Genomic DNA, 26,506 nt, shown 5'->3' with positions numbered 1-26,506 from the left:
CTCTCTCCCCTCCCAAAATGATTTAGAAAACTGAAAAAGGAAAGCAGCAATGAGCATTTCCTGAAAGAAAATGTTCCTGTTTGGACAGGGTATGCTGCCTATACATCCCCTCTGCCCTCACAGACGGACATGTTTTTGGCATTTGAGCTCTTACTGTGATCAGGTATTGTACACAAATCAATGTCTCATTGAATCTTCAAAACAACAGGATAATATCCAGTGTTAGGTTAGCGTAAAGCTCCAAATAATTCCAGATGCAGGCAGACAGGTTCAAGAAGGAAGGAGAACATTTTGTTCTCAGCTTTGGAGGCAGACAGCTCTCTACCTTCAGCTCTTAACAGCTGCGTAGCCTGGAACAAGTCCCTCTTTCCTTCCAAAGCCTCAGTTTTCTCATCTGTGAAAGGGGCTCAGGCTAGTGCCTCTCTCCGAATGGATGGCCAGGTCTAAGGGGATGACACACATCGAGAGCTCAGCACAGAATGTGGAGCAGAGCGGGCCAATATTGTCAAAGGCTATGGCCATAAATATTGGCTGCTGTTATTCAGGGGAGGCCAGGTCCCTGGAGGCTCAGACCACCCTCTCTGCAGCCAGTCCCCAGGAGGTGAAACATCTCCAGCCCAGAGCGCTACCAGGAGGGCCAGCCAGGGTGATGTGTAGGCTCCCATGCTCTGAGCTTAGCCCCAACACAGAGTTTCCCCCAGTAAGAGCCAGAGCTACCCACTCGCCTTAGAAGCAACTCAGCTCCTCTCAGGCACACACTTAAATGAAATATGGGAGTCCATCAGTATTAAGTGGGGGTTTCAAAAGCTGTAGTAAGAAAATTAAAGCAACCATGTGAGAGTGTTTTATGCATGTGGGATAACTGCCTTTTGATATAGCTTTTTACTACACATTTGATATTATGGATCCATAACAGATAAATGTGTATCGCGGAATATATAAAAGTGCCAACAATTGTCAATATGCATTCACACGCTGTATTAAGAATATTCTATAAAAGACTCTCAAAATATGATGGATGTAGATAACTAAGTGAGTGATGCTGCTGATGAAAATTTGGAGAAAGTGCATCTTAAGCCCTAAGGAGGTTTATTAGACACAGCAGCCGAAACTCAGCTGACATTTACAAAAGTCCCTTGACACTCAGAACAAAGAGTCCTCACGCACACACTCTCCTCAAAGCAAGGACTCAAAACACACATGAAAACGAAATACAGAAATTCCAAAATCGAGGCTCAGGTGCTGGGAAGGAGAGATCCGGGCACCTGAGTTATTAATCCAGAACAAATGTGGATGTTGATTCTCCAGACACTTGTGAGGCCCCCTGCACAGCCCTGGGCAGGAGATGGGAGGTGGACTGAACCGGTGGGGCTCAGCCCTCCAATCTCTAATCTCCGTGTTTTCTGGGTGTTTAATCCTCAGAATGAATTTGAAACTCAGGCTTGGTTTGTTTTGCTGCCTGCCCTTTTTTTTTTTTTTTTAGCAGTCATAAACACATTGTTATGCTCTTTTTTAAAAAATAAAGTAAAACATTTGCAGCTTCTCTACACGTAATAAAATCAATCTTTTGCCCAGTGCATTAAGTGAAATAGCATGTCCCCAGAAAATACGTAATAGTCAGTGTGTTCAAGAATCATGCAAATAAAAGTTTTTTTTAAAAAAATCCAAAGGTCAGAATGAAATACTAGGCATATTCTATAAAATAGACATAAATATTTGTGTGTATTTTATACAGCAGGAGGCCTGAAAGTGCTCCCTCAAAATGCATGCTGAAATTCCTAAGCTGCAATGCCTTTCTTTGCTGAAAATTTGATTTGTTTATGAAGTCTCCCTGTTTCCCTGACATATAGATATTATACACATCGACAGTAAATAGACCTTTTTTAATTGAGCTCATAGGTTGAAAGTGAACGTGACCTTGAGTTTACACTGATAGTGATTATTTATAATAAGAGATTTAGCCACCGACTTCCCTTTTGTATGGGAAGGGCTTACTTTATCAACGGACCATATTTAAGTAAATAGTGCCAAGTAAAATAAATTCAGCTTTAAAGATAAATATCTCTCCCTGTGTCGGACGTGGGCAGCAGAACGCCCCTTTGATGCCCCGTCCTGTACACTAAGAAGGGAGCCCAGTAGAGTGAGAGCTCGAATTCATCAAAGTTCAGATTTGACTGGTTTCTCATGAGCCACATGTGGGAATGTAGCAAATCTGCAATTTATTTAATTTTAATTAAATTTTGTTTCACATCCTGTTTTGCAAGTCAGCAAGATGGGCTAGATTTGCCAAAAAGAGGATGAAATAAAGAAGGGAAGGAAGTTCCCCGGCCCAGGCATGCATTTGCAGCCCCGCGTCTGCCCGGCCGGGCTGAAGCCTTTCTTTGGAATACACAACTCTGTCTGTACAGCCTGTCTTGCCCACAGTATCACAGTCTTGCTATCTCCTCGCTGAAGGGCCTATTTGTCTGCTTTAAGTGAAATCACTCAATTCTCAAAAGTCAGTGGAGGACTTTAGAAGGGGGAGGGATCGGATAGGCTACTCCAAATAAGTTCCATTAATCAAAAGACACAGTGTAATGTAACTAATATTTTACAATTAGGGGAGACAGGATGGAACTAAAAGCCATCTATCTCTCTTATACCACATGATCATCGATTCATAATCGGAGACTGAGAGTTGCACAAAGATGCATTTACTGGATGGGGGGAGTGGGGGGAGGGCTGGCCTGAGCCGAGATAATGAAGGCGATGAGAGTGTGCGACGCTGAAGGCTGAGGAGAGATGACAGAGGAGCTCAATGCTGACGGATGACATGAAGACGCGCGCAGATACCTGACAGCCCGCGGGAGCCGGCGGGCTCCTTCCCCGCCATTATATCCTCAATTATCTTGGTAAGGGACTAAGAGGGAGGACGAAGAGCAGGCTGGCTGAGCACGGCAGCCACTTGGCACTGGGCCACTGGGCCACGGTGCCACGGTGCCAGGGGAGGCCACCGCGCCCTGTGTGAGCCCCACTTGGGGGGGCTGCAGCTTCCATTGTCAGTGCCCCTGGGTGTGCACACACACATACACACTCACAGGGTGGGGGACACACAACGGGGATGCCCGCGGCTCCATCTGGTTTGTAATAAAATTCCTAACTCTTCTAAGGGAGTCATTTTTTTTCTTTCACTGCCACCTTCAGGAAAAAAACAGAGTTGGCCCTTTGCAAAAGAAAAAAAAAAGTGTGTGTGTGTGTTGGGGGTTGATTCCTGGGAGTTGGGGGGTGCTCGCTGCTACTGCAGAATGAGCTGGCTAGAGACAGCTCACACTCCCAAAATGATCTTCACAGAACTCTGCAAATGAGGACTGCAAGGAGGGAAAGGAGCTGTGGGGAGTAAATGCAGAAGCTGAGAACGTGAGAGAGGGAAGGGGCAAAGAAGTTGTGCAGGCCCTTTCCTGGGCACAGGGATTCAGACATCACACCCTGGAGAAAGTTTCTCTGGCCCCTGCCCCATCTTCAGCCATTGCCACAGACTGGGGTCTTCCCCACCCAGACATTTTCTACCTTGCTCCATTATTTCTTTGCAGAGATACAGATGGCCTCACGCAAATGCTCATGTAGCCTGTCTTCCGAACAAAGAAAAACAAATGACGTTCCAGGAGGCAGAGTAACTTGGGATCTCAGCAACGTGGCAGGACCGTGGGGCAGGTGGTGGAGCTGACAGCGTCCCAGCCCATGATGGAGGGGAGGACGGCGGCAGCGGCTGGGACGGTGCCCCCATCCCCCTGGTTGCCTCTGCACGGGGCCATTTCTTTAATATACAGTACTATAGTGACAGATTATGTAATATGTACAAATCCCATATTGAAGCCAGAGGTCCAGAGAAGCCATGATTTTTATGGCATTTATTTTTTTAAAATCGTGACTTGGCTACAGAGTGTGTTCCCTGGTGAAGCTGCCCTGACTTTTTCCTCCCAATCCATCCCTTCCGTCTCTACCTCCCTGGGTTCCATGGGCCCTGTTTGCAAGGAGCCAAGCTGGATGGGGATACCAGAGTTTGGTTTCCCTGCAAAGCATCAAGAAGGCTTGTTTCTATGAATGTGTCTGTGCACACACACACACCCCACACCTACAAATAAAAACACTCCCGCTGTAAGAGCCCACAGATATCCAGAAAGAGTCTCTCCATCAGCTCAGATGGGGCTACCTCGAGGACTTGTTCTAAAGCCCCCTACTCACTGTCATTGCATCCCTGTGGAAGATGAAGCATGGGAGACAGGGGTGCAGTCGCACCCTCAGAGCAGAAAATCCAGAGACCCCAAGGGCTCAGATGGGACACACCCAAACCCCTTTGGTGTTTTACCCAATTCTTCCAAAGGATTTGATAAAGACCCCTCCCCCCACCAACACAAAGTTATCCAAAAGGATAAGGGGGCTCTGATCATCTGAGGAAGCTGTTGAGTCCAATCTGGTAGGCTAATCAGAGGGCAGAGGTATTAAGTACAATTCACTTGCGTGGCCTGAGTAGCTGTAATTGAGACAACCCCCTCCCACATAACCCCCTGGAAGACGCACTGAAAACATAAGTGGCCCCAGTAGGCTAAGTTTGAGTGTCCCAGACATAAATAGGGTGCAACTGCATCTGCCCTCGGAGGCTTGGTAAGGGCCCTTGGCTGTTCAGCCCGGGATCAGGTCCCGACCGCTGCCCATGTCCCGCCCCCTGCGTCAATCAGCCCCTATAAAGTCATGCTGTGAAGCAACAGCCCCCTCCCTTGCCTGAACCAAAGATTCCCTGGTTTACATGCAGAACCTCTAACACAGAATGACCGAACCAAGCCATCGGTGGATAAGATAAAGCAGGAAAGCAAACCAAAGCCAAGCCTGTAAAAATGGAGTTCCAGGAATCAAATCGGTGCACATGGTTTTAACCTTTCTATTGCCATGATTTTGCCCTTAAGCAAAAATGAGAACTAAGAGTTTTCAGGTAAAGTGAACTTCCTTACCAAAACCTGGACCGTGAATCCATGGAAAGTTGACGTGTTGTCTTTAGAAGCAGTTTATGCATTAAGATTTTTGTGAGGCCAAGACGCGGTGGCTCAAACCTGTAATCCCAGCACTTTGGGAGGCCAAGGCGGGCGGATCACTTGAGCTCAGGAGTTGGAGGCCAGCCTGGGCAACATAGTGAAACCCCATCTCCACCAGAAACACAAAAAAATTAGCCAGGCATTGTGGCATGCATCTGTCGTCCCAGTTACTCAGGAGGCTGAGGTGGGAGGATCACTTGAGCCCAGGAGGCAGGGGTTGCAGTAAGCCGAGATTGTACCATTGCACTCGAGCCTGGGTGACAGAGTGAGACCCCATCTCAAATATATATATGTATATATGTGTGTGTGTGTGTACATGTGAGTCATTGTTGATCTTGGTTCTTTTACTTGTGGTTTGACCAAATGCAGGACAGGAAAGATAGATAATTTTCCAAGAAGATTTCTAAAGAGAGATATTCTTGGAGAAAAATATATGAGTGATCGGTTACAAGCTTGTCTTAATGTATCAAAAAAAGCAATACTAAAGGCATGAATTCTTAACTGATTGATGAATAAAGGTATGATTCCATGTTGCTCTGATTAACCTAGCTATGTTGATGGACAAGAAATGTGAGTTGAGCATGTCTAAGGTACAGCCCCTCCTGTCTAAGGTGTTACAGAATGGGATGAAGTGGAGTGGGTGATAGTTGAGTAGGCTGTTTCCTTTCCCAAAGGTTCTGAGAAATCCAATGTGTTGTTATTATGGGTGTGGCCACACGCTTCTTTGGTTCCTGCATTAGAAAGGTCATGTCTTTGAAAAGATATTTAGTGAGCAATTTCATTCCCCTTTACAGGGACATCCAGTTTTCAAATACTGCTAAGCCTTGACAGCGTAGAAGGCAGGCAGAAACCATCAGAGGGAAAAAGAGAAAAAAAAAAAATCCGCTCAGGTTATCCTCCTAGTCCCAGATGAGGTGGGCTGGCAGCTACTAAAAATTAAACAGAAGAGGTTTTCCAAATGCAAACAGAACATATCCGCAATCATAGAAACAGCTCTAACACCATAACACTCCTTGAACTCCAAACAAATTATTTGGGAGGATATTAAGCCTGGAAGGTCTTTCAAATTCCTTTATTAGAAAGGAGATTACTTAGAGCTCATGGTCAAATCACATACAATTTGACCCAATTCTTTTCCACCCTTTCACATCATTTGATATTAGGCAGAAACTATTGTTCAAATGCAGAAATTCATTATCCTCTTCTCCAGCCAAGGCCAGGCTGAGAAAATTCCCCGAGACCCGGCTTTCAACCCTGCCTCGCAGCCATAAAGGTGGTCTTTCGCGCCACCTAGAGGGCAGCCGGAGGCACGGCGCGTGAGTCACTCGGAGGAAAATTAAATACAGCTGAATAATTGAATGAGAGGGCAAGTTGAATCAGGGGTCACCATCTGTTTGACTAGAATTGTTGGCACATTTCAGCTAAGCCTCGCGCGCCTCGTAAACATGCTTACAGTTATCATAGCTCGCATTGCCCTAAAATAAAAGAAAATTGGTCCTAAAATAAGCCTGAACTAATTAAACATATACCATCTTGTCGTCATGGAGACCAGAGTGAAGGTCACCAGCTTCTCATGGCATTCAGGAGGGTGCTGGTGCCAAAAAGAGACGGGTGATTCTTTCCACTCCCGGGGAGAGGGCACCTCCGGGGCCAGAGGTGCTGCCTGGATGGAGGGTGTTGGGGGAGAGAGGGTGCCACCACCCCGTTCTTCATCCCTCATTTCCCCTCCGGGCTGAGGGGAGGCAGAGAGGGAGGGCAGGAAAGCAACGACACCATCTCTGCAGATCCAGGAAGCAGCGTCAGGAGGGACCGTGAGCTGCCCCCTGCCAACGTTACTTAATATTATGCCCATTTGGCAGATTTTCCCTGGGGATGGAGGTGGGGAAGGCACCCTTCCAAAGAAAGGGGTGTCGTATCTGAATTGCCTCCTTCTGCCAGCTTGATCCGAGAGCTGGTCCTCTACCAAGAATCTCGATGCGGCTGGTCGTGCATTTGTGTGCGTGTGTGTGAATTACACTGTATGCTGTGTGCACGCGCGACCAGCACAAATGTATATTCTGGGAGAGAAACCAATTCGAACGGTACATCTCATCATGTCTCTTATAGATTCCTCCTTTCTTGGGGAAACACATCCTCGCCTCGAGTCCTCAGCACGCAGCAGCTTCATCTTGGGGGTTACTGAGGACAGGCTGTATGCAAACCCAAAACTTGCAGAGTTCGAGAGATACCATTAAGATTTCATCCCCTTGCCTGGCTGGGTCAGAACCCAGTGAGCTCCTTGGTTTGGAGATTTGAAGATGCAGCTTTTTGGCCCCTGGTGGTCCGCAAGCCCCTCCCTCGTTGTTCTCCTTCCTGGGCCATAAAGGCAATACAGGCCTCTTTCTCTTGTCCCCCTACCCTGCTAAGCTGGGACTGCCCTCCCTTTTTTCCTTCCCATTTGCACTGTCGATTATGCACAAATCGCTTACGGAAGACACAGTGGAGTGACCCCAACTTCAGGGAAGCCTCCTCCAGGGACACAATTAACGTCTGTTGGAGCCCACGTTGGCTGGGCTGACACCATTGCGGATTCCAGAGGGGCTGTTCTCTCCAGCGTGGCGGAGATGTCATTGGGGAAGGGGGGCTACCCAGAGACCAGAGGGTGGAACTGGACCTGGAGGACTGGAGCCACTTCTGCTCCTAAGTAATTAGGACCCATCAAATGAGGCTGCTCGGCACCAGCCTCCCGCCTGGTAAACCAGTCTGCAGCGTGGCTTCCTAGAATCCAAATTATGACAATAGGAGAGAAAGGATCAACGCCACCAGTATCTGCTGGGCAGAGAGCTGCCCTAAGTGCTAGGAGGAGGGGCCCTTAGGACTCCATCCAGCTTCTTGGCTGGTGCCCCAGCTAAAGCAGGCCAGGGACACCAGGGAAAGACTTCCTGCGCTTCATGCGGAGAGCTCTTAAGCTGCACTTTCTGCTGGGCACGCCCCTATTTCCTACCCCACTCCCCGCCAGCTCACAGGCTTCCTCCTCCAGGAAGCCCCCTGTGATGCCCCTCAGTCCACAACATCTCCCACACTGGCTCCAGCAGGAGTGCACAGCTGCCTGTTGACTCAAACTTAGCACACCTCCTCAGCACCTTGCACAGGCCTGGCGCTCAGGTCTGCAGAAAGCCCCAGGAGTCAGGACCCTTGTGGGTTCCTGTGCTGCAGGGCAAACTAAGCAGTGACCCTCCTGCCCACTCCACGGGTCTCATTCCTTAAAACAGACTTTCCATATCCATGGAGGATACAGAGCCATTCATCCCAGATCAAGTGTGGTTGCCCCTGGGGTTCGGAAAGTCGGAAAGGGGCTGTAGTGAAAGTTGGGGAATAGAAAGGGGCGGGGTGCAGGGTACACCTGGCAGGCAGATGTTCCATAACGACATGAAAAAATGCTCACCATCACTGGCCATCAGAGAAATGCAGATCAAAACCACAATGAGATACCATCTCACACCAGTTAGAATGGTGATCATTAAAAAGTCAGGAAACAACAGGTGCTGGAGAGGATGTGGAGAAATAGGAACACTTTTACACTGTTGGTGGGACTGTAAACTAGTTCAGCCATTGTGGAAGTCAGTGTGGCGATTCCTCAGGGATCTAGAACTAGAAATACCATTTGACCCAGCCATCCCATTACTGGGTATATACCCAAAGGACTATAAATCATGCTGCTATAAAGACACATACACATGTATGTTTATTGCGGCACTATTCACAATAACAAAGACTTGGAACCAACCCAAATGTCCAACAATGATAGACTGGATTAAGAAAATGTGGCACATATACATCATGGAATACTATGCAGCCACAGAAAATGATGAGTTCATGTCCTTTGTAGGGACATGGATGAAATTGGAAATCATCATTCTCAGTAAGCTATCGCAAGAACAAAAAACCAAACACCGCATATTCTCACTCATAGGTGGGAATTGAACAATGAGAACACATGGACACAGGAAGGGGAACATCACATTCTGGGGACTGTTGTGGGGTGGGGGGAGGGGGGAGGGATAGCTTTAGGAGATATACCTAATGCTAAATGACGAGTTAATGGGTGCAGCACACCAACATGGCACATATATACATATGTAACTAACCTGCACATTGTGCACATGTACCCTAAAACTTAAAGTATAATAATAATAAAATAAAATAAAATAAAATAAAAATAATAATCATAAACGACAGTTGCAGAACAGATAAGGAACAGCAGGGTCTGTGCATGGGGCCCCTGCCTCCCCATTTCTTGTCCCCGGTGTGACAGAGAGGAGGCAGGATTGTCATCTCCGGCCTCCAGACCCAGGAGTCTTTTTCCCACTCAGCCTGACCCCTCTTTGGGCACAGCACACACCCCAACCTTGTCCAGTGTCCCTTACCCCTCCCTCCCTCCCCTGGCCTGGGTTTTTCCCAGGGCGTACAGTGGAGACAGAGGCCCTGGGTAAAGACAGCATGGATGACCAGGTGGCAGGAAACTCGTTCACCTGTGCATCTGGCAAGTAACTCCAGTTCCCGATGTGGGCCAGGTGGGCTGGATGCCCAGAGCTGACCCCCCTCTCCCCGCAAAACAGGTTGAGAATTGCAATTTCTCTCAATTTTCCAGAGAAGCCAGAAACAGGTTTTTATGTGAAATCCCTTGAGTTTTAAATGTTAACTACCAATTCCAGACCCTCAGAGGCTCTGGGGGACCCAGCCAAGCAAGTCTGCAGACTGCCGGGAGCCGACACGCACCTGCCTTTGACCTTCCTGCTGGGTTGTCCTGCAGCCACAGTAGGATCTGGCCCTTCCCTGCTGCCCCACACCAAGGGCTCTGCCTCCTGGATGTAAAGAGGTGACGTTTCCCAGAAGTCGTGGGGAGGGGGCAGTTCGTGGAGGGGAGGGGACAGCTGCACAGAGCCCTGCACCCTCAGGCCCTGGCAGGCAGCCCGGTGGGCTTTACTCCTGGCACCAGCAGCTAAAGCCTCACACCCTAGGGTTTCCTGAGCGCCACCCCCAGCCACCTTGTTTCTGCTGCAGCCAAGAAAGACTCAGCTGCCGCGTCTCCTTTCCCTTCCTTCCCGGCCCAGGGCCTCACCTCCATCATCTAGCTGCGGGCTCCAAAATTGCTCTCTGATCCCAGATAGCTGTGAAGCGGTGGTTAAGGGAAAGCAGCTATTGATAATCCACCGCACAGATGGATTAACTTTCAAAAATAAAAAATCGGGCTGGTGCCTGGATATGGGAAGTCCTGAGCCTGTATTGAACCGACCTCCATGCAGCTGTGTGGCCTCAGAATTTAAGGATGGGCAGCCCGTTCACCCCTGTCTTCTGCACAGAAGAAAAATCACCTGTTGCCACTGAGAGAATCTACTCATGTCTCGGCTGGCTCGGTGTTGAAGGGGGCTGCAGGGATCCTGCAGCTATTCACTGGGGACTTGTCATCTATGTAACAACGTGCTACTCTTTTATTTTATTTTATTCATTTCTTTTTAGGATGGAGTCTCACTCTGTCACCCAGGCTGGAGTGAACTATCTTGGCTCAAGGCAGTCTCAACCTCCTGACCTCAAGCGACCCTTCTGTCTCAGCCTCCTTAATCTCTTTATTTTGAATGAAGATTTAACTGACCTATTTCCAGAGGGCAAAAAGCAAAAGTTAAGCCTAAACAGTAAGGGTATAGGTGTGTGTGGGGGGGCTTGGGGGTGGGTACCAAGGAGCTCCGAGGAATTCTAAAGGAAGCTCCAGACATAGTCTGATTTCTCCCAAGGCTCCCTGCTTGGCTCTAGGAGTCCAGTGCCAGGATCTGCCTGGGATCTGCAGTTTCAAGAGCAATATCATGCCTTCTCTTGTCTTGGGTTCCCACCATGTCTGTCAAGATGCTGTGAGCAGAAGGGAAAACTGAGCTGGGACAGGTAACTGCTTCCTGAGAGAAGATGGTGAAGAAGGACAGTGGGCGATGGGGAGGGAGGGAAGCCAGAGCTTGTGCAGGTCTCTGCCTGTGGCCAGAGTCACAGGCTGGGCTGGATCGGCTCTGCACTCGGCTCCTGGAGCCTCTCACCGATATCCAGGCTCAGAAGGGAGACCAGAAAGGCCGTGAGCCTCTCCGACCCCTGCTGAGGACCCTGAGCAATCCCCCTGCACACAGTGCCCCTAACCTGTCCCGCATCCTGAGCATCTCCCAGCCAGCGGCCATAACCCGGCCCAGCCTTTTGAAGAGGAAAGCTGTGGTACCATGGAGGCTTCTCCGGTCCCTGAAGACAGCACCCCCTTGCTTCTCTTGCAAGTTGTTGATTGTTTCTTGATGCTGCTTTTTCATGGACCCTTTGCAGTCTAATTTCTCATCCCAAATCCTCTTGAAATAGTTTGCTTTTAAATATAAACTGTCACCGAACACTCAAGCTTTTGACATTCTCAACCGTGGCCAGAAGAAGTCTCTAAACCCTGCCTCTTCTCCTCCCAAGGAAGGAAGTTCGGTGGCTCAGGGTGATAGCTGGGGGCTACCTGTGCCCATCAGGGTGCCTCCCGTTCACCCCATCCCCTCTCTAACAGCCCTTCCTTTCCTGGGCAGAGACTCCCATTCAGGGATCACCAAGTCCCCCCAAATCAGAGGGGGCAGGCCACGTGCAGCACCCCTCACTTGGGCTTTATGAGCTCAGGGTCTTAGGAGGCTTTTAAGTGGTTTCTTGATGCCAGGAAAGACAAAAATCGCAAAAGATCAAAGTCATTGGTTATCCCAGTCTCTACAATTACATATAATTCACAAAAACAGTGCAGTTATCTGTATCTGCAGCATGCAGGGGTCAGAGCTAGACAGGACCCAAGAGGTCAGCCTGCCGCCAGCTTTTCCTGTGTCCCCGGGGGACATTTTGCTCTGGGCCTGAGGGCCAGGATCCTGCATGGAGAGCAGTGAATGTCCTCGCCAAGGCACACTGTGCTGAGCTGGAAAGTGCCTTGGCCACAGCCCCAGGTGGATGGCCAAGGGTGGCCAGGGCCCTGTCCTTGTCACTGTGCTGCCCTCTGCAGATGCATCAATAGCCAGGAGGGCACCTTTCAGAGGCCAAATTGATAGGGCCAACTCCAATGCCTGCACATGGTCACCTGGCTGTTGAGATCTTAAGTATAACACCAATAAGAAACCGAGAAGCAGGTAATCCTGAGGTAACCAAGAAAACCATCAGAGGCTGGGATTGTGAAGCCAAAACCTCTCCCGAGCACCAGCCAGGTGTCTGGTTTCAGCACAGATCCAGCTGGCCTGGCCCCAGGGAGATTGCGGCAGCCCAGCAGGTATGAGCCAAGGTATACATTAATTTGGGCTCATAATTGTTAAGAAGCCACATCTAGAAGCTTCAGAACTTTCTTCAATTGTAGAAAAGGCATCACGCCATTTCTTTCACAAGCAAAATATCTTAAAAACTCAATATTTGACTGGGTGTGTCGGCTCACAACTATTATCCCAGCACTTTGGGAGGCCGAGGTGGGAGGATCACATGAGGCCAGGAGTTTGAGACCAGGCTGGGCAACATAGCAAGACTCCATTTCCATAAAAAATAAATAAAATGTCCACCCTTGTCTCAAAAGAAACTTTTGAGAAGATACTCCCATTTAAGTCCCTGTTCAAAGGGCTTCCCTGCAAGAAGTTCCTCAAAAGATATATTTAAAATCATATTAAAATCATTTTCATAAAATGTGTGTGGAGAAAAGACAAGTTTAATTCTCTAAGGCTCCATTATTGAAGCAAAAATTAATATTTGTACTGTTTCTAAATTGGAATAAAATTGCAAAGATGCAAACACCATCCTATATCATAATCTATAAACCAGTCACAAATGTTAAATCAACTGTAAAAATGATTTAAAATCTACATGAATAATTTTATTAAACTGATTTGAAATCATATTTTGTGTTACCTTCACTTATTAACTGCATCCCCAACAACAAGGGAGTTATAATGGATTTTTGCAAATACAGATATGTTCTCAAATAATGCTGTGATCACGAGGCAGACCTATGATGGAGGCATGTGACTTCCTGTCCTACAATGTTGACAAGGGGCTCACAGAGTGAAAGCCATCTTCTTTACACATTCACAGATGGCCATAGACTCTCAATGGGCACAGTTCAGGTTTTATGCACAAAGGTTCATGTTCATCTTGCTCACAGTAGAGGCAAGGAAATCATTTCCCATGAGCACCCAGAATAAACTGCATGCAAAGACATGAAGAGTCAATGAATTTCCCAAAGTGTTTGAAGTTTAAAAACAAAAGTGCATTTCTGGCCCAGCACATGTGGCTCACACCTGTAATCCCAATACTTTGGGAGAAGGGAGGATCTCTTGACCCCGGGAGTTCAAGACCAGCCTGGGCAACACAGAGAGACCCCATCTCTATTAAAAAAAATTAAAAAATTAGCCTGATGTAGTGGCTCATGCCTATAGTCCCTGCTATGTAAGAGGCTGAAGTGGGAGGATCACTTGAGCCTAGGAGGTCGAGGCTGCAGTGAGCTATGATCACACAACTGCACTCCAGCCTAGGCAACAGAGTGAGACCCTGTGTCAAAAATAAAAAATAAAAAAGCAAGAGTGCATTTCCATGAGACCTCACTCTTGATCACTCATTTCATGGAGAGAAACTGAGAGGGCTGTCATCTCTATAGCCATCTTTTTGTCTCCTCTGAAGAAAGAATAGCTAGACTGGAAAGTCAAGGAATGTCTCCTCTTTTTTCTGGGCGCCAGGAGACAGAGAAATCAGAGTGGGCGCACTCATTACCTTTGCCTCTGGAAATAAAGCAGAAACAGACATCTCAAGATGAGATTTCAAGGCATGCAGCTGTGAGCCTTCCCAGCTCCTTCTCCAATCCACACTTTCTTGGTTTCCTTCCTTTCGTGATAAGCCATGGGTTACATCTCAAATAAACCTGAATGACCTGATTTCTAAACTCTGGTTCTGCTTCCTGAAAAGTTGCCCTGAGAGTAGGACCAGCCGAGGTCCACAGGAGAAGAGTCTTTCAGTCTTTCACCTGTTAGGAACAGCGTCCTTTCTCACCTGTCTCTGCTCACTGGCCATAGAGCAACGGACACCTTTGAGGGGTCCATCAGGTAGAAGCTCTGGGCTCATTGCACTTTGAACGCTTGCATCAGCAAACTCAAGGGCAAATCCATTTGCCTGTTTACATGGCAGAAACAGAGACGAGTGGTTGCTACTTCTGATACAAATCTCTGTGGAAGTGTCTAATGGCCCCCAAAGCCTAAATGGCATATCCAGTTCCTTAGAGGTGCGGCAAACGGATTCCAAGATCAATAAGCACTGTCCTATAGATAGCTACAGGAATGAAAGCCAGAGAACATGAGGCCAGAGAGAGAAACTGAGCCTCGTGGAGCACTGCACTGTTATCTGTGTCTCTTGGGAGTTGTGGAAACAGAGCCTCTCAGCCACCTTCAGCTGCAGGAGTTTCTCAGGGGGAAGGGATTTTGACAAGGCGGGCAGGTAAGCAGTGGAGCCCAGCCCGATGCCCACGTGACCTGTTCAAGCAGCAGGGTGTCATTCTCCCTGACCACAGGGGGATGGCTGGAAGGACCATCTCTGAGCATGTCCTGCCCTGTCTACTTGACTCCCATCTCTAAATGCAAAAAGCTGCCTACCTCGAATACCAACCAAGAACACACTATACAGGAGGCTTTTATTGACATCCCAGCTACAGAGGCAAGCTGGACAAGCTGAAAGTGCCTCCGAGTTCATATTTAGAGCTCAAGCTGGCCTCCACCCACGATGGGCAGCAATTTACCAGACAAAGGCAGCTTCCTCACCTCTCAGGTGGGGTCACTCTGAGGAGTGCTCTTCAGGTCCCAGAGCTCCCCAAAACTCCAACTGCCCACCTGGATTGAGGGCATACACTCCATTGGTTTCCTTCCCTTCCCAATACTCCATCAGTCACATGTCAAGTAAACCTGGATGCCCTGATTTCTTAACTCTGGCTCTGCTTCCTGAGAAATTAACCTGAGAGTAGGACCAGCCAAGGTCCACAAGAGAAGAGTCTTTCAGTCTTTTACCTGGCAGGAACAGCATCCTCTTTCACCTGACTCTATGCAACCACTCCCTCTCCATCCCCGGGCAGCCTGGGCACAGGGTGCATGGCACAGGATGCCCAGAACCAGCCCTAGCTCTGCTTACGGGACACAGAGTGATGCCTACGTGCCTTAAGGAGCACTGTGCCCTGAAAGCCTTCTCCACCCAGGCCCCTATCCCATCTCCTGCTGTCACCCCGCCAACCTGCTCCTCTCAGATAATATTTCCGAGTGCCTCAGCTCTGAAACACAATATCTGCCTCTTGGAGATGTGATGTGAGCTTTCACATCAGTTCCACCAAAAGTTAATTTCTGTGATGAATGCAATATACTCAAACCCATAAATCTGACCATCTGAAGGATTCAAATGGGGAATTATTGACAGCTGATGGAACCCAAGTGCGGAGATGAAGCTGCTTTTCTCATCTGTCCATCTAAATGTTGGAATGTGTATTGATTAAAATATGACTCGCTACAGAACCCAACATAAATCTAAACTCTATTAGATTAACACTAGCATTCAATTAACATAAAATGACAACGTAGGAGAAAAAGGCTGTGTGTCGGTCACCAGTAATATTTTACCTATAAACATGGGGAACCTGACATCGGGACGTGCGTCCGTGCACGGTTTGGGGTGGTGGGCACGCATGTGAGAGTTAGGTTGGGATGTGTGCCCCAGAGGCAGGAAGAGGTGACGAGATAGCAGGCTTAGGGGCACTGCAGGCTTCAGCCACAGGAGGAGAAAAGGGTGGCTGTGGCTGGTTGGCTTGACTCTTTTACTATTGCTTTTATTTAAGATGTGCCTGGGTGGCCAGGGCCATGGTGCTGTGCGGGCGATGTATGTGCCAGTCCCGTGGCAGGCACAGGGCGGGAGACCCGTCTACAAAAGGAAAATCTGAGTCAGCTTCTCAGACACAGAGAGAATGTTTTCAGTGGGTTCAGGACCCCAGCGTGGAGCAATGAAGATTTCCCCCAGGGAGAGGAGAGCAGAGATTTGAAGATGAACTGAAAAAATTCATATTGGAATCTAGGCAGAGGAAGACCAAGCAGAAAAGTGATGAAACAACAGTGATGTCATGTGTGCCCCTGAAGGGCCAGGCGCTGTGCTTGGCTTCTGCTCAGATCTGTCACTATTTCATGTCTCATAGGTCACACAGATCATACAGATCACCCTGGAAGGGTCCTAGGCGGGCTGGAACAGCTGACAGTGCAGATGAGGAAACGGAGGCTCGGAGAGGCTCGATTCTCATGTGACAGGGGCACTGGAGTCCTCACCCATTCCCCTGGGCCATCTCCTGCAGGCTGTTTCCACATATGCCAAAGCATATGGGGCTTTCTGGCCAAGGGGGTTCTCCAGTCATGGGCTCTTATTGGATTAAAGGGCCAAAGGGTGAACACCCCAGGAATACACTCAACCAAGACAGGATAGGGGCTGGCTTATAAACACCGCAGCTTTCTTGAGGTTGTCCACATAGTTCCTCGGAGGGTCCCAGCAGGAATAAGACTCCATTTCCCACAGGGATCACCTGCTTCAAAACACGCCTACATCTGCTCCCCCCACTCCCTCCTTGTACTTCCTGGGATCTTCTCTCCCTCCTCCCAAAAAACTGCCTGTGCCTAAATCCTTATCTTAGGGTATGATTCTGGAAGATTCCAAGCAAAGGACTAAAGTCACAGAACTCATAAGTGGTAGCAGAGAATTTGATGTGTTTGTTTTTTAAACCAGGCTTCTCATCATTCTCCCCCATGCTCTTACTAACAGATTCTTGAGCTAGGATTGGAGAGGAATGGGATTAAAACATCACTACAAAGAAGATGGAGGTTTGCAGACCCCATCTTTCAGATTTGACCTTGTTTGCTGTATGGACCCTGAAATATGCTTTGCTGTGGAAATAATGCCCCTTTTGTAATTGGGTGCCCAGGCTAGCTCTCAAAGCCCTCTTAGCATCTGGTTTACATGTTCACCAATTCGCTATTTCAAACGCATGCATTCTAATGTAAAATATTGCATGTAAGGGTACCAACTTGGGAATGCCAGAAACACACCTGAGCAACGGCAGCCCTGGGGTGGTCACTTAAGTCTCTATAACATCAGCACAATTATGGCCCCTCTGCACACACAGACTCCTCCAGGGGATGGGGCACCCCAACTGGCAGATCATTTGTAAGAAGTTCTGAATTGCAGAATAAAAGGGGAAGCTATTTTCTGTCTGTCTGGGTTCAGTTTCTCTGGCCAAGTAATCTATCTTGTTTTGAATAAAATATTATAGCAAGGAAAAAGAAACGTTGAGATGGGAATCGGGTGACCCAAGTGAAGGCCTGGACGGCCCCAGTGAGTGACATAGCCTTGGCTGAGTGGGCCGGGTCCCAGGGCGGTGACCACGCTCCGTAAAGTCCTACTGAGAAAAGAACTCCTGGGTAGATGATGGGCCTGTCTTGATGCCTCAAGTCCAATGGCCACAGACCCTCCCAGAGATCCTTCCAGCTGTACCAGGACTAGAAGGACATTCTCAGGGATCTTGCCAAGCAAGGATCTTGGCAGCCTCCCAGGGTCGGAAGAATGCATTTTGAAATTGCAACCACCCAAGTTGAGGCTGTTTGTTCGTCACTGAACAAATGTCTGCTGAGTATCTATTTATACCTAGTGCTTCCTGAGATAGCGCAGGTGCTATAAACACTAGTTAGACATATCCCCATGTCACTGCAGACTGCCCGCCTCCTCCTCACCTCTGGTCACTGAGGAAGAGCCACCTCCCTCCAGTGAGGCTGTGCCCTCTCAGCACCTGGGGCCTCCACCCCTGCCCCGCTTCCCCTTCTCCTTCTCCCTCAGTTCTTCCTGCTCTGCACCCCTGAAGCCCCAGAGTCACTTGGATGAAGCCGCCATCATCTCTGCTGAGTTGACAAGGCCTCCGTGACCTGGCCACAGTCTCTCTCCAGGCCTGTCCCTGGTCACTGCTTCCACACCCTCTGCATTTGCTCTAGGACAGACCCTTCAGCTCCCCGGCTGGGCCAACCTTTCCAGTGATCATCACATGCTACTCCTTTGGCTGGGAAGCCCCCAACTATGTCACGGGCACCTAACAATTTCCTCCAGATTTCAGACTGGACACATGACCCCTTCCCCAATGTCAAGCCTGAACATGGGTCATTGATGATTTGCCTAAGGGCAACACCCATGCTGAGTTATACCCCCTAGGTACCTGTGGGCCTGCACCATGGCGATCCTCTGGCAGATAGGATAATGATGCATTCATCCTTGTTCCTCTAGGGCTTGTGGTGAGCCTCACATGCAGAAGCACGTGCGTGCATTGAGTGAACGGGAAAATGAAAGAATGATTGAATGAGAAAGAGAAGGGGAGGGGAGGAGTCTCAGGGGAAGCCTGAGGCTGGGCCCTAGGGATGGGCAGAATGGGGTGGGGAGAGGAGCCTGGATAGAGCAGCAGAATGTTCTTGGCCATGAAATGGGCAATCATTCATCCATTTGATAGAGTGGACAGAGTACCTTCTCTGTGCTCTCGCTGTTACAGCCTGGCAGGGATACAGCAGAGAGCCAGGCTCCCGGGCTGAAGGGATGGACCCGGGAATGGCTCCTGCCTTCAGAACCTGCCTGAAGGGCGTGGGCAACAGAGGCACCAAGGGGCCAGTCCGGAAAGGCGTCTCTGGGGAAGGAAGGCCTCTGTCTCTGTTCTCAGACTCCACGAGGAAGAGCCTGGGAAATGCCTCCCCCAACAAAACCAAATGAAACTCTCTTTGGACTTCGTAGTGAACAGTTCATTCCCCGAGACCCGTCTGCGGGGGAGCTCAGTGTCCAACCTGGCAAGGCCGAGAAGACAACGATGACAAGGACTATATTAACAGCCCGTGTTGAGTAGGTGCTTGCCATGGGCCGGGCATCCCACAGACAGCCTTCCTGGCATGGATTTTCTCATCTGATCTATAGGATCGTCCTACACAGGTGCAGTCATCGTGACCACGGATTTCACAGGCAGAACACCCAGCCCAAATGAATGCCACAGTTTTCCAAGGCCACTCAGCGAATGAGGGCAAAAGACGGGATTCGAACTCAGGCATGCTGATCCCAGTGCACTAAGCGAATGAGAAGCGGCGCAGGAGGGGAGGAGTCTCAGAGGAAGCCTGAGGCTGGGCCCTAGGGATGGGCGGGATGGGGAGGAGAGAGGAGCCTCAGGAATTCGTTCCCCCATTGCACTAAGCCTCCCACGTACCCCTCCTTCCGCCAGCTTCTGGCACCTAGCCACAAGACGCCATGCTGCGCCAGAGGCTAAGAAGCCCGTGAGTCCCGGGCCCGCCCTCTCCCACCTGGGCAGGATGAGGGGAAAGGGAAAAGCTGCTTTGGAGAGAGGCAGATGCAGGCGTGAGTCTGTGTGACTCTGGGCTCAGCTCTTTTGCCCACTTCGTTCTCTTCCCTCCTGTAGAAGCAGGAACAATCCAGTCCGCCCTAGTTCATAGAACTCCTCCAGCCTAGCACTCAGCAGACGCTCTATTCGTGCACATTGCCACAATGAATACGTCATTGAACAAAGCGGTTAACCTGAGGTCTTTTCTCCTTTAATTTTTTCCAACAATAGGAACAGTTTTTATTTCCATACTTGCTCCGAACACCCTGAGAGACAGCAAAATTGGGTGTTTGTCAGTTGGTGCCCTCTACCCCACGCAGCCCCCCTGCAAGCTTCTTTCAGGTTTTAGGGAAAGTGGAGCCTTGTCCTTCTGCGAGGATCGGGCGCCCTCTTGCGGCCATCTCGGGATTCCCGAAGTTCAGGTCCCCGCAGCAGGAGAGTGGGATTCTCCGGGGCTGAGGACAGGGAGGCCAAGGGACCCCTCCGCCTGCCTGCGGAAGTGGCCTGGCAGTCCCCTACTCTCCAGGAGCCTGTCCCTTCTTTCTTCATCAGGCTGGACACCGAGGCTGAGTCCCCGGGGAAGCTGACCACGGCCAGGCACCGCCTAAAGGGAGTGTGTGAGGGATGGGGGCCGCCCCTCCCGCAGGCACAGGACTCAGCCATCACAAATGCCAGTGGTCCTTGGAACACGTCTGCCCGGCTGAGCCTGCCAGATGCCCAGTTTAGGGAAGCGCGTGAGGAACAGAAATGGAGGAGACCCGACCAGACAAGAGGCAGTCTACCCAGCTGCAGGTCGTGTCATTTCCTCTCCAAAAACAGACAGGGAGCGCCAGCCGCCTGTGCATCGCCCCACTGTGGCATTGGGACAATTGCTCCTGCTGTCCCCTTCCCTCCAGGAATGATCTAGCTGGGCTCTAGGAAGCCTCCAGGACTGCCACATTCATAGTTCCAGGGGCAGGGGCCACCATGAGCACAATGCACCCAGGCGTGTGAGGGGGTCCCCCGACAACCCTTGCCCCCGCTGCCCACTCAGAGACCACCCTCGCTGAGCTGCTCCTCCGTGGCCTGGCCCTTCTAAACCTCTGGCTCCTTCTTCTGGGCATTTGGGGTATGGGATCCCTTTCCTAATTAACCAGAAACGCCCCAACCAGGCTTGGGCACACAGGTGGTCCTCAGGAATCGGAGCTGGCTTAGAGAAGGTGGAATGAGTTGGGAGCTCCTGTGATCACAGCAACAAACGACTTTTCCACCAGCCAAGAACTGGGCACCTCCCACGCGGCCCCTTCACATGGCCTCGAAGTGGGTGTGGCAAATATGACCCGCCTTATAGAGGAGACCTACACCGAGCCCCCAGGGAGCCATCAGCAGAGAGAGGCAGCGCAGAGGCTGGAGCCGACTTCCCCTCACCACAGATCTGGGTCAACTCTAAGGTAACAAACTTTGGTGGCTCCATCTTCACGGGTACCTGGGAGAGGCATAACAAGGGTCCCTCCTCAGTGTCCTTTGGGACTGCAGGGACCCTCAAATTGGCCGCCAAGATCCTGAGCTTTTAAGCTCCCAGAAGGCGCCCCCACACAAAAACTCAGACACACCAGGAAGCAACTGTAGCCTGGCCTGGGACAGGGTTAGCAGTGTATTAGGCAGAAAATTCTAGAAGGGGCCCCTGATTGGCCCAGGGATGCAGGACCTGTCCTAGCAAGCAAAAGAAAGTCAATCACACCCCCTCCCCTCAAACTCAAGGTCAGGAGCCCCCACTGTGGAATCTCTACATGGTGTAGAGTCTCCAGGGCAAATAAATATCTTAATTTTGCAAAAATTTATTTCCTGGAGAGAGAGAAAATGTGGCCAAGACCATCATCATGAACTAAAAATTTTTTTTCTAATATTACATTTAACATCCAAGAAGAATCCAGATAACTTGGAGCAGTTAGCACTTCTGAAGGGCACTCCAGTTATTTTAGAGCCAATTACATGCCATTTCGATAGAATTCCTTGAAAGGATAGTGCCCTGAGGACCTGGCTTCAAATCTAGCCCTGCCAATTACCAGCTGTGTGACCTTAGACAAGTTACTTAACCTCTCTGAGCCTGCGTTTCCCCATCGATGAAATGAGGCTAATAACAATGTATACCTTATAGGGTTTGACCTTCACAGCATAGTTCTTAGCACATTGCAAGCACTCAGGACATGCTGAGTGTATACTAACACTACTGCTCTGCTATTGTTATCTAGTACTGTAGTAAATAGGCTGGGAGCTGTTCATGTACTCTATATCCAAGACAACCTGACATGCTCTGGGCTTCCAGAGCAGGTAGGTCTTCATTTACTCTGGGAATCTGAAAAGGTGAGATTACCTCACTTCTCATTAATTAAAAAAAAAAAAAAAGCTAGAAAAAACTCTAGCTGAGAGAGTCTTCTGACATTGTTTTATACACAGTCATGGTCAGTCCCTTCAATTAACCTTGATCCAGGCCATTGGGGACACTTCGGCATTTCAGGTCTCCTAACCACCCACCTTCCCACTCACAGGCAGCTTCGGCATGGGGGAGGCCTCCCGGATGGACACAGAAAGCAGCTAACGCACACAGAGGGAGAGGCTGATAGCGTGGGAGGGTGCAGGTGCCCCCTCCCTGCACCCAAGGGCCAACCAGGCACTAACCCAGCTTTTCCACCAGGCAAGCCTGTGTGCAAGTCACCCCTGTTCTGCTACTGGGACAGGCGATTGCTCCTCTGAGCCTCAGTTTCCCCTTCTGTAAGCTGGGGATAATTACACCTGTTCAGGCGTGTAAATGAATTCAGATGGAGACAGTACCTGGTGCTCGGGAGGTCTACAGCACACAGCATGTGTTCAGTCATTAGTCCTCGGTGCTGTGCTACTGCGAGATGCTAACGAGGTTAGTTTAGACAAGAGGGCCCAGCTTACAGCACAGTTTGCATTCCTGGGAAAATTGGGTAGGGCAAGAGCTTACACCAAGGTAGGCCTGAGAACAGCTGCCCCAAGGGTCAGGCGATACTCAGCACCTTCCCCTGTGGCCCAGGAGACATGAGCCCAGGGTTACCACAACTTCTGACTTTTCCAGAAATTGCCTGATATGCTCTGTAAAATATCCTGGATTTTCAATGTGAATAAGTCTTTTAAAATATGCATACATACATACATACATATATATATATATATACACACACACACATATATACACATACATATATTTTACATATATATTTTTGAATATATATATTTTGTGTGTATATTTATATTATATATATACACACAGAGAAAACAAATAAAGCAATTAAAAGGTATTTCTGGGTCCCAGCTCTGAGGCAAGGGAAACTAGATCCGCGAGGTTTCCAGCTCCCGCCTTACCCCATGTGTGGGCTTCTGAGGATTCTGCTACCCCCAGAGCCCGGAGCTGTTCCTAGAACACCCCACCTTGAGGCTCAGAAAGCCCCCTCTCAAAGCCTAAACAGTAATAGAAATGTGGGTTCCACTTCTGTGCAGAGGCCGCCATCTACTGGTGGAAGGACGTGAGTGCAGCCAGTGCCTGCCGGGATCCCCAGCAGAGGATGGGAGGAGAGGGGAGAAAAGAGAGGAGGGAGTGGAAGGGAGGGAGGAGGCAGGGAAAGGGAGGGAGAAAAGAAGAGCGGACAGGAGGGAACGTGTCGGACCCGGCCAGCTTCTGATGTGAGAAGGAACCCAGCAGCAGGGCCTGAGCCACCTCATCAAAGATGAGAAGCAGCTCAAGCATCCTGAGTGATGGGAGACTGGGAGGCAGTGCACCTGCTGCTGGGAGGGCTGGGCCTAAGCTCAGAACCTCCTGGGAGACCAGGTGAGCCGTGATCAGCAAGCGAGCATGCACACGCATGTCTGTGGCATGTCTGCAGATAGGCACCTTCTGTCTAGATCAACCCTAAAGCAACAAACTTGGTGTAGTCCCATCTTCATGGGTACCTAGGTGAGATGTATCGAGGGTCCCTCCTCAGAGCCCTTTGGGGCTGCAGGGGCCCCAGCCTGGACCCCAGGATCCCAAATAAAGTCTCCCAAAAGGGGCCACCACAGGAATCCCAGACACACCAGGAATCACCTGTCCATGCAGTGCACCAGAATGTGCAATGTCTCCAGACAGTGACCCCTCCTTTCCTCTCAGTCCTCTGATCCCCTAGTGACTGTGCCTGCTGCCTAGGGCCCCCCAAATACCCAAACCCCAAATCTCTCCACGCTGCTGCTGATCCCCTTAACCTGTTTTCTAGGAGCACTTTGTCCAGCAAAAGGGAAACCTGGCTTGTTCCCTCGAGCCTGGAATGGACATGGAAAGGGTGTCTTTTTGGCAGAAGCAAGGATCTCCAGATGGTTTCGAAACAGAATTTACCCAGCACCAGACCCTCCTGGGCCAGTCACATGGCCTTTGAGTGACCAGGATCTTCAGGAGCCACTTTCAGGAAATGCAGCAAAGGTGATTTTCCTGTGAAACTTCAATCCCAGGCAGGCCCTCCTCAGCCCACAGGGCCATGGATCTCTCAACTGAGCTGAGCTAAGCTTCCTCCACTGATCCCCCCAGTCTGCTGTGTGCAGGGAGCAACATAGAAACATCCCCCAAGACAGCTCTTCAAACAACGCATTACTGCTTATGGATTATTATTATTATTATCATTATTATTAATTATTTTTTGATGGAGTTTCACTCTTGTTGCCCAGGCTAGAGTGCAATGGTGCCATCCTGGCTTACTGCAACCTCTGCCTCCCTGGTTCAAGCGATTCTCCTTCTTCAGCCTCCCTAGTAGCTGGGATTACAGGCATGTGCTACCATGCCTGGCTAATTTTATAGTTTTAGTAGAGTCAGGGTTTCACCATGTTGCTCAGGCCAGTTTCGAAGTCCTGACCTCAGGTCATCCATCTGCCTCGCCCTCCCAAAGTGCTGGGATTACAGGCATGAGCCACGGCGCCTGGCCACTGCTTATGCATTTTTAAACTTTCTTTTAATTTTTTTACTGGATATTATTTTCCAGGCCTGAAGTGTTTCCTGTTGAAGAACTCGCTTTACTCTCATGGAGCCTCTAGGAGGCACTATTGTGACCTATTTATAGGAAGATAAACAGAGGCTGGGGTGGTGAAGTGAAAAGTTGCCGGGCTAAAGAACTGGGCTGGCAGCCCAGACATCAGCCCTCAGCCCTCCCAGCCGGGAAGGGTCCAGAGTACATGCGGGATCAGAGATCTTCATAGCAGAAAGCGCTCTTTGATGCCAGCCACACTGACTCCACAGGGAGCAGAGTGTGTTCAAAGGCCAGGATTTTATTCCCCCATCCCCACCCTCCCCGATTCTCACCACTATCCAATTAAAAACAAAAACAATCGCATAAATGGTACTACGTGCCAGGGACTTTGTAGACATACATGCCTTTCACAGATCCCACCTATGTAGGTGGGTATTTTTGATTCCTCTATTTTCCGGTGAGATTCAGAGAAGTTAAGCAACTGGCCTGTGATCACCCAGACAGCAGGAGTGGAGCCTCAGTCTGGGATCTGACCAGTGCCTGTTGCTCTGAGCCTGCAGAGCCAGTCCCAGGCTCCATCCACCCCGCCCTCCAGCAGCCTGGCCTGATTCAAATGCCAGGACTGCAGGTTCCTAAATCAGCGTCCATCAGCCCAAGGTCAGGGTTATTACAGTTTACACAACTACAGTCACCAAGGAGTAACTAGGACAGGACAGGCTGGTTCTAGCAGCTGCTGAGAGAGGGAGAGAGGGAGAGGGAGAGAGAGAGAGAGAGAGAGAGAGAGAGAGAGAGAGAGAGAGAGAGAGAGAGAGAGAAAACTCAGCAAGAATTCCTCTAGATAGCACTATTTGAAATCTTCCCATGATGAAATTAAAAGTGAGTCTTAAATGATTTATTTTTTCAATCTGTGAATCTAAACAAATGATCCCCCTTCTAGGTACATGTATCATATGATCTCCTTCACAGCTGTGAAAAAATGCTATTAGTGCTTTCAAAGCAGTTTTATCACAGATTAAAGAAGCCTAGAAAAAAAATTGGCAGCCAGAGACAGCCATATGCCTACTTGACCTAGGACGGTAAACCTGTTGTTCATTCCAGAGAGGGGATTATGGCATTACTTTTAGTAAGTTGCTTTTCATATGGAAATTTCCTTTCATAGTAAAGATCTGTCTTTAATAGCATCATCCTAAAAACATGCCTATTTTTTAATTCCACGATCATGGACATATAGATTTTTATAGTGTCTGCAAGCATACATTAATGTTAATTTCACCATTCTCCTTTGTATTTTGTTAATGTCACAGTCTGCTGTAAAACCTTGCCAAGTTTCTTAACTGTCATGTTAATTCCAAGACCTATTCTGCACTCTTTGACATTTCAGGACAGAACAAGGCAGTAAAAATAGATTAGAAACAGCTTATAAGTATTATAAAATCTAGAACTTTACAGATGGTGGAATTAGGTCTGCTGAATGGAAATTTAGCAACTCCTGAATGCAATAATATTAGAAAATCGTATTCATTTCTAAGGTAAATATTTGGAAGGCGTCGTATAATGGCGGCTGGAGAAGTTGGGGAAACTTATAAAATGCAACAGAGTTATATAATTTTAAGAAACATACTGTATGCATATACCATATCCTGCAGAGTTTCGGGTTTCAAAGGTTTTCTCCACTGTATAAATAAAGGGCAAATAGTAAGGGCTTGATTTTATTCATGGTCAGTTCAAAGATCACACAAATTATTTCACTCAGGGGGTTTGTCTGCATTTTCTTAAGTTAAAGCACAGCATTACTGTACTTAGATATTAAATGACACTACCATGTGCTAAGAAATGTGCAGGAATGGACAGGAAATTAGACACTGTTTTCTTAAACTGATTGCTAAAGAATGCCCACTGTTTAAACCTGCACTATCCATTTCAAAGGGAAGTATTGGCTGATTTCAGGAAGTTTGAAATCAGCTCATGGAGAAGCAGGACAAAGTTAGGGTTAAATGTGCTTTTCTTCCTCCCCAAAGGGGAAACTA

At 49.0% G+C, this 26,506-nt stretch overlaps 1 protein-coding gene and 1 long non-coding RNA gene across 32 annotated transcripts in view; one reads left to right on the top strand and one right to left on the bottom strand.

Annotated features, from left to right (window-relative positions):
* The window catches only part of ZNF536 (zinc finger protein 536), a 487,995-nt gene that overhangs the window by 24,088 nt on the left and 437,401 nt on the right, over positions 1-26,506 (bottom strand). The gene's annotated exons all lie outside the window — the stretch shown is intronic.
* Positions 19,293-26,178, top strand: ZNF536-AS1 (ZNF536 antisense RNA 1). Its single transcript, XR_007067216.1, has 2 exons — positions 19,293-20,918; positions 23,739-26,178. It is a non-coding gene; the product is annotated as a ZNF536 antisense RNA 1 (long non-coding RNA).

The sequence above is a fragment of the Homo sapiens genome, chromosome 19, assembly GCF_000001405.40.
Source record: "Homo sapiens chromosome 19, GRCh38.p14 Primary Assembly".
NCBI lineage: Eukaryota > Metazoa > Chordata > Mammalia > Primates > Hominidae > Homo > Homo sapiens.
The sequence above is the reverse complement of the archived record's forward strand: the minus strand, read 5'-3'. Positions and strand labels throughout refer to the sequence as shown.